This window comes from Homo sapiens, chromosome 2 (assembly GCF_000001405.40).
Source record: "Homo sapiens chromosome 2, GRCh38.p14 Primary Assembly".
NCBI lineage: Eukaryota > Metazoa > Chordata > Mammalia > Primates > Hominidae > Homo > Homo sapiens.
In genome coordinates this window covers 120,312,791-120,320,046 of record NC_000002.12, presented here as the reverse complement: position 1 = coordinate 120,320,046, position 7,256 = coordinate 120,312,791, and the positions used below count along the sequence as shown (strand labels likewise).

General features: G+C 56.0%; 1 long non-coding RNA gene across 1 annotated transcript, besides 1 other annotated feature; it reads left to right on the top strand.

Moving 5' to 3' along the window:
* The first annotated feature begins 705 nt into the window (after positions 1–705).
* On the top strand, positions 706–2,744 carry LOC105373584 (uncharacterized). Its single transcript, XR_923260.3, has 3 exons — positions 706–975; positions 1,381–1,528; positions 2,409–2,744. It is a non-coding gene; the product is annotated as an uncharacterized LOC105373584 (long non-coding RNA).
* Positions 6,109–6,632: an enhancer, noted in NCBI's record as "H3K4me1 hESC enhancer chr2:121070991-121071514 (GRCh37/hg19 assembly coordinates)". NCBI's record gives its function as "activates a minimal SCP1, AML or CMV promoter by ChIP-STARR-seq in primed H9 embryonic stem cells {active_cell/tissue: H9 hESC(primed)}" and the evidence as "EXISTENCE:reporter gene assay evidence [ECO:0000049][PMID:30033119]".

Below are 7,256 nucleotides of genomic sequence, written 5' to 3'. Positions count from 1 at the left end.
ATGTTGGCCCACAAAGTTCCACCAAAAACATCCACCGCCCACTACTCCTGCAGCCCAAGCAAAAGCTCGCAAAGGGAAAATCGAGGCGTTCCGTCAGAGCTGCGGCATCAGACAGAGGTGTTTTGGCAAGCCAGGGGCTCTAATGAGGCTGTAAATGACAGGGCAGGGAAGTGCAGGAAATGGCTAAACATCCTGTCGGCTTTGAACTCCACAGACCTGCTCGGAAGCACTCACATTGGTCTGAAACACGAACACCTCTTTATTATGGGATCAATAAAGGCTGTAGGAATCGCTTCTGGTCCTGCTGGTGTTACCAAATTTGATGATCATTTGCTGAGCACTGAGGAGATCACAGGCCAGAGGAGGTGGGGGTCCACCTGGGCTGTGTGGTCACGCACCCAGTGCCCAACGCTCAGACAGACACCAGCCAGCTTCACCTTGTGCTGCCTCTGCGACTCTGGGCGACTTAGTTTTCTGTGGCTCTGTTTCTTTGTCTATAAATTGAAAATAATAAATAGGGCCCACCTGGAGGAGTTGTGTGGGCCCCAGTGGAGTGATAATGTAGGTAAAGGGCTGACATGCCAGGGCCAGACACCAGGGTGACTCCCCTGAGAACCAAGAGGTCATCGCCATGGTTCAGAACCTGTTCCATTCTCCTCTGCTGCCCTACGCATTCCAATACAGCACCTTCTGCCTGCCACGCCCAGTCTCCAGGGCTGGAATACAGATGTGAGCAGGACCATTCCTGGCCTCCCGGCTCTGAGGAGGCGAAGCGCAGGCCCACAGCTGTGCGGCAGGAGCCACCCTCACAGCAGAGCCGGTGTAGACGCTTGAACGGCTCCTGCAGACACTCCCCTCTCCCCCTCTTAAAAAAACAAATGCCCTGGCCTCCATAGCCCCCAACATACCTGCTTGTGCCCTCCTCTCTCCACTGGTATCACAAACAGAAACATCAATCTGCCTTTGTTTTGCCAGGTCTGTTTCCACACACCCTTCCCATTATATTTGAAAACAAAGCTTCCCATCTTTGCTCGGACTTCTCAGCCTACTTTTAAGCAAAGCACTAACAAGCGCCTCCAGGGTGGGGTGGAGAGTTTGTGCCAAGAGCAGGGCTTGGCCCAGAGCCCATCCCTTCCAGGCCTGGTCACAGGGAGAGAGGGTGGAGATACAGCAGACAGAGGGGCCGAGAAGGGGCCTGCGGCCTCCCCACCTTGCCTCTCCCTCTGGTAGTGAACGTCCTCCCCATCCCCAAGGGCCTCCAGTCGGCCCTGGGCTGCTCCAGGGGTCCCTTTCAGCAGACCGCCCCCAGGCCTGTCAAGCCTGTCTCTTGCACAGAACGCTTTATCTGCCCCCACCCCTGCATCCTGTTCTCTGTTCCAGAGGGGCAAGGCTGTGGAACCCCAGAAGACAGGCCTCTGAGAGGACCCGGGTCACCCGGACCTGGACTCAAATCCCATCCCTGTACCTCTCCTTGGATGAACCATCGAACACTGAGCTTCCATTTTGCATCTTCCAACTGCACAGAGAAGTAAGTGTGTGCTGCTCCTTCCGTGGTTGGTGCTGAGTGGGGATTTCGGGAATGGTCCCTGCTCCCTGCATTTTCCACAGGGCCAGCGGGAAATAAGCTTTACCTCCACCGCACAGGAGGGAAAACTTCAACTCGCATGTTAGGGTAAACTGGGGAGAGACTTGGGGTAAATGGGGAAGTTTTTTTGGTGATGGGTTGGGAGGGGCCCTTTACCCCCAGAGGAAGTGGTCACCTCCGAGGGTCTAGCTTGGTGGCAGCGGGTACAGTTGTAGCCTAGAGAAGAAAGAACAGGGGCTACACACATGTGATGTAAAACCGAGGAAAAGTGAAGAAGTGCGAGGTGCTCGTGGGGTCACCAGGTTTGGGGCTCAAAGTTCCAGGAAAGGAGGGACTCCAGGCCTTGACCTCCACTGCACACCTGGGGACAGGGGCCGGAGACAGTTACCTTGGAACCACCAGCGCCCACACACAGGGACACTCCCCACCTGACAACTAAACTGTGGAGTTCATTCAAGTCTTTCCAGACCGCTGTGGTAACTGAAGACTAATTTTCCAGTGCAGGAAGAGGATGAGGGACCTCCTGTCTCATGCTTTGTTTAACTAATATGAAGGGAAGGGGAGCCAGGCGCGGTGGCTCATGCCTGTAATCCCAGCACTTTGGGAGGCTGAGGTGCGCGGATCACCTGAGGTCAGGAGTTCAAGACCAGCCTGGCCAACGTGGTGAAACCCCGTCTCTACTAAAAATACAAAAATTAGCTGGGCGTGGTGGTGGGAACCTGTAATCCCAGCTACTGGGGAGGCTGAGGCAGCCTCCCTAGTATATATATATATATGAGGGGAAGGGGGCAGGAATCATGGAGCCAGAGAAACTGATTTTCAGTTCATAGGCAAGCGGAGGCCTGATGTGGAACTAATGGGGCTCTGCGTCATGGGCAACTAAACCTGGAGGGGGCACCGTGCCCGGTTCTCCCAGAGAAGAGAAGAAGGACTGGGCAGACAGCTCTCCATCTCTCTGTGGAGGCCTCCCCTCCCACTTCCTTCCCCAACACCCCACCTCCACCTGCTGCTTCCAACCCCCAGCCCTGTTGGTTCTAGAAAGTTTGGTTGTTATCCAGCAGGAGGATGAGGACTGGTTTAGAGCAGAGCCATTAAACTACAACCTGTGGGCCAAAGCTGGCCCACCCCTTGTTTTTCTAAATAAAGTTTTATTGAAACAGTCACACTTGTTCCTTTACATATCATCTGGGGCTGCTTTCTCACTTTGAGCTGTTGCAACAGAGACAGTGGGGCCTGTGACACCAAAATTATTTGCCATCTGGTCTTTACAGAAAAGGTTTGCCAACCCAGGTTTACAGAAGGAGAAAGGAGGGTGCTTCCCACCTGCTTCCCTTGGTGAGTGGGGAGGAGCTGGTGGCAAAGCGCAGGTTCTTGGCAGTAGGAACCAAGGCAGCCCTGCATCAGGCTGGGAGGGCCGAGGAAGGCCTCTGTGGAGATACAGAAAGCGGGGCTTAGGAATGGGGAGGGAGCTGAGGCCTGTGCCCAGAAAGGGTGGGCCAAGAACAGGGAGAAGACAGCTGGCACAGAGGGGACGCTGGGCTGCCCCTCACAGACTCAGCTGAGGCAGGAAAGACTTCGCTAAAGAGGAAGGCCAACGCGTTTAGGCTTTTTCAGAGAAAAGGACAGCGCTCCCATGGGCAAGGGTGAGTGGGGAGAGCAGGCAGGCGCGGACCTTGAGCTTGGGCTCCTTGGGACCTGCGTGACCCACAAACCCCACCCCTGCCCGGCAAACCCCACCCCTCTGCAGCTTTCCTACTGCCCTTGCTGTACCATGCCAGGGACTTGCCACCAACTGCAGCTCCGGCTGCTGTCGGATCCCTCCATCAGGAAAACAGTGGTCCCCTCACAGCTGGCTCCTCCCTTCCCCACACCACCCCAGCAGGACTGATCTCTCCTGTTTCCCAATGTCTGTTAGGGGGACTCCACCACCCGGTCCCCCAAGTCAGAAGCACCAGACGTCCCGAGGCCTCTTTCTCCTTCCCATGTCCCGAGGCCTCTTTCTCCTTCCCCACCTTACATTAAGTCACCTCCAAGTCCCTCCAAACCTCCAGGTGTGCTTCTGAAATCCATCTGGATACCCTCCCTGGCTCTGGCCACCCTGCCCTGTCTCCCAGCCAGAGCAGCCCTCCTCTGCGCTCACTCGCAGCCCTGCACATCTGCTCAGCCAGCAGCAGCTCTCAGAGGCTTCCTCACCAGCCGGTTTCCTGGGCCCTGGCATTCAGGCCACCCCTCCGGCCCTTGCCAGGCCCCCACCCCAGCACAGTCAGGCCCTGTCTCCACTTTCTGCAGAATGTTCCAAGCAGAGGTTTTGGGGCCACACAGCAGCTGTGGGAACTCAAACAAGTCAGCCCACCTCACAGGGCCTCAGTTTCCTTACCTCTAAAATGACGACAGCACCAGCCAGGGCCAAGGCCACTGTGAGGATGCAAAAGGCTGTTACTCACATCGCTGCTATTTCTGTCCCTGCTCCTGCCTCTGTGCTTGCTTCTGCGCCATTCCATTATCATTCACTGAGCAAAAAGGCATGGGCTGCCCAGGAACTCAGGGAGGGGAGTGAGCTGGAGTTGACCATCATGTTACAAGGGCCACAGTGCTGCTGCGGGCATTTCAGCACTGTGCCGGGGTGGGAACCAGTGTCTGGCTTTGCCTGGAGAAGCAGAAGGGCACAGTTGGGGGAAGTGTGCTGTGTGCTGTGGCGGCAGGGTGGGGAAGGGTGCAGCCAGGGCCAAAGGCACAGTGCTGAACACGCAGAAAAGGGCAACAGGCACACGATGGGACCACAGCGTGTGCAGATGACAGCCGGGAGCACAGACAAAATGATGTTCTGCGGATGGCAGCCAGGGACACAGAGGAGGTGCCCTCTGCAGAAGGGGCTGGCAGCCCCCCAGCCTCACACCCACTCGTCAATGGCTGTGTGGTCACGGTGGTGTCCCCCACCCTCCAGGGATTGTCAGCTGAGGAGTGACATGGCCAGGCCTGTGCAGCAGCGAGCTCACACTGGTATTAGAGTGAAAGACCGTCCTAGAGACCAGAGACCAGAGCATCAGTGTGAGAGGTCAGGGAAAAGACGGTCGCAGTGGCCAAGGCGTGATGCTGTACAAGCCAGACAGTGGCACCAAGGGGCAGTGGAGGCCACCCAGAAGGAGCACACTTGACAGACCACAAGAAAGGACAGCACGATTCGGTGACCATCACCAGGGGCCAGGCAACGGGAAGAGTGAGGACACCTGCGGTGTCACCCTGCGGGCAGCCAAGCTCCTATGGTGCTTTCGGGTGGGAGGCCGCCCTCAGCCAGCGGGCGAGAGAGAATCCATCCCAGAAGCCGCTGGAGGGCAGGAAGGAAAGGATTATGGCTCAAAGGGAATGACACAGTGATGGAGAAACAAGCTGCTGTTCTGTGTGTGGACGAGTGTGCCGGGGGCAGGAGGCGGCACCGACGATGTCACCAGGGAGAAAAAATTACCTTGAAGCCCGTGGAGTGAAGAGTGTTCAGGACAGAGATGGGAAAGCCTGGGCCTGAGGAAGGCACAGATTGTGGTCAGTTGTTTAAGGACAGAAGAAGTTAGGAAAACACTGCCCTGGGTGATTTGCCTCCTACACAACAAAGGTTTCCTCCAAGGCTAGTGCAAGCTGGCAGGAAGCCCGTCATCTTCCGTGAGCCCAGCCACATCAGCAGCACAGGCTTCCACCTTTGCGCTGCTTCAGAAGAGCTTGCTCAGTCTGGCTGTGGCTGTTAAAAGTGTGCTTGGCTTTCTAATTAAAAATAAAACCTCAGTCGAGGGATGAAAGAAAGTGCTTTGGAGCTCTTCCAGGGACCCACCGCATACAGGTGGGGAAGGAGGAGGCTGGGGAGGGAAGGAGGGCCGGGGGAGGCTGACACAGCACCCGCATCCATGAAGAGCAGAAGCCCAAAGATGTCTTTCCCCGCACAGACCAAGGATCTGTGATTTCGGGAGCGCAGAAGGAAAGGCACAGGACAGGAGGGGAGAGGTGTGAACATCTATGGCAAGGCGAGTCCAGCTACTGTTAGCTGGGTGACAAGGAGCTGCTACGACAAGCCTGCGTGGAGATTTAGGCAGCATATGGTCACCGTTTCATTATGTGCAAGTGGCTTTCTGCTGCCAGCTCCGTCCGGAGCTCCTGGAGGCAAAGCTGAATTACAGGGTCTGGAAGGTGAGCCCATTTCCCAGACTCCACAACCCCCGCAGTCAGAGACAGTCTCCCCACACCACAGCTCTAGGTCAGACACACGTGGCTGGAACAATGTAGAAGGACAAAATGACGCGTAAGACAAGATGGTCACCACGACCTGCCACGCACCCAAGCAGAATATGCCAAAAGTGTCCCGTGGTCCAGCTCACAGGTCACGGTCAGAACCCACCCAGAGGACTGCCCGCGGGTGAGAGTGGTGCGTCCCCTGCCCGGCTGCCCCAGACCTCTGAGGTCAGCTTGCTCGGGTGTGAGAGGGCAGTCCTTGAAGTGAAGGCCATTGCGTCGGTTCACAGCGGGTGGGGCCCGGGGCAGCCGCTGCACAGGGCTGCTGTTGACACGGCGGGAATGTTTCTTGAAATCAAGGTCCGCTGCAATCTGGGGGAAGGCGATGGAGCCCGGTGCTCCTCGGGGCGGGCGTGGCTCCGCCTGGCTGTGGGGTCCTCCTGCTTCTGTTTCATCTGGAGGAAGAGTTGGCTGGGATTCCGGCTAAGGGCTGGGGCCTCCCTTTACTCTCCAAATCTTTTCTCAGTAAACAAAACTCAGTGTGGGAACAGGATTCCTATCAATTACAATACAAACTGATTGATGCCATAAAAGCGAAACCACCGGCCCTCACAAACAGTGCGGCTTATGTTGTCTGCCCCGCTCTCCGAAGGAAACCTTCCCTTCAAGAGTTTGTGTGTTGTTTACCCTTCTTCTTGGCGCACACACAAAATCCAAAGCCTGTAATAGCGCAGGTCATTAAAGGAAACAACTGCACTTGGGCCTTTTTCAAGGGAGTGATTCAGGCAGGTGCTCTCCTCGCCGAGTCAGTTTACAAAGCGTTACCAGAGCTCCCTCCGCCGAGAGCGGGGCAGGCCAGCCACGCAGCGTTTTCTCGGGAAAACGCACTTTCCCGTGGCCACTAGGCGGAGCTAGGTGTTTACCAAAAAGGGCAGCTTGAGCTTTGGTGCCGCTGGGGACTTACGATATTAAAATGTCATTTTTATATGCAACTACCCTTTACACATAAAAGTGAAATGGAGTGGGAGCTATAAGAAGCACCTGAAAGTTTCATGCTGGGGGAAGCCCCCCGTATGTGGTCGGGAAGGAATCCGTGTCTCATTTTAAGTGCGGAGAATGGGAGGAAGGGAGGAGGTAGAGGAACCCTCCAGAACCTGAGGCGCCACGTAGTCCTGATTCGCCTCTCTCCATCTCCCAACCGGAGCAGTCCTGAGAACGCGGAGACCGGCACCATTCACTGCGCAACTAACTTCACCGCCTGCTGTGCTAGGTCGCTGCGCCCAGGGACCCACGTACCAAGAAGCAATGCTGACACCCTCCCTGTCCAGCAGCTAGGGTTGCCAGGGGATGTGAAAGGATTCTGAAAAGATAATGCAATCTTCAGACGTTGTTAGGACTGTTTTGTTATTATTATCAGGAAACAGACGTAAACTGAAGAGGGAGACATAAAGCATTG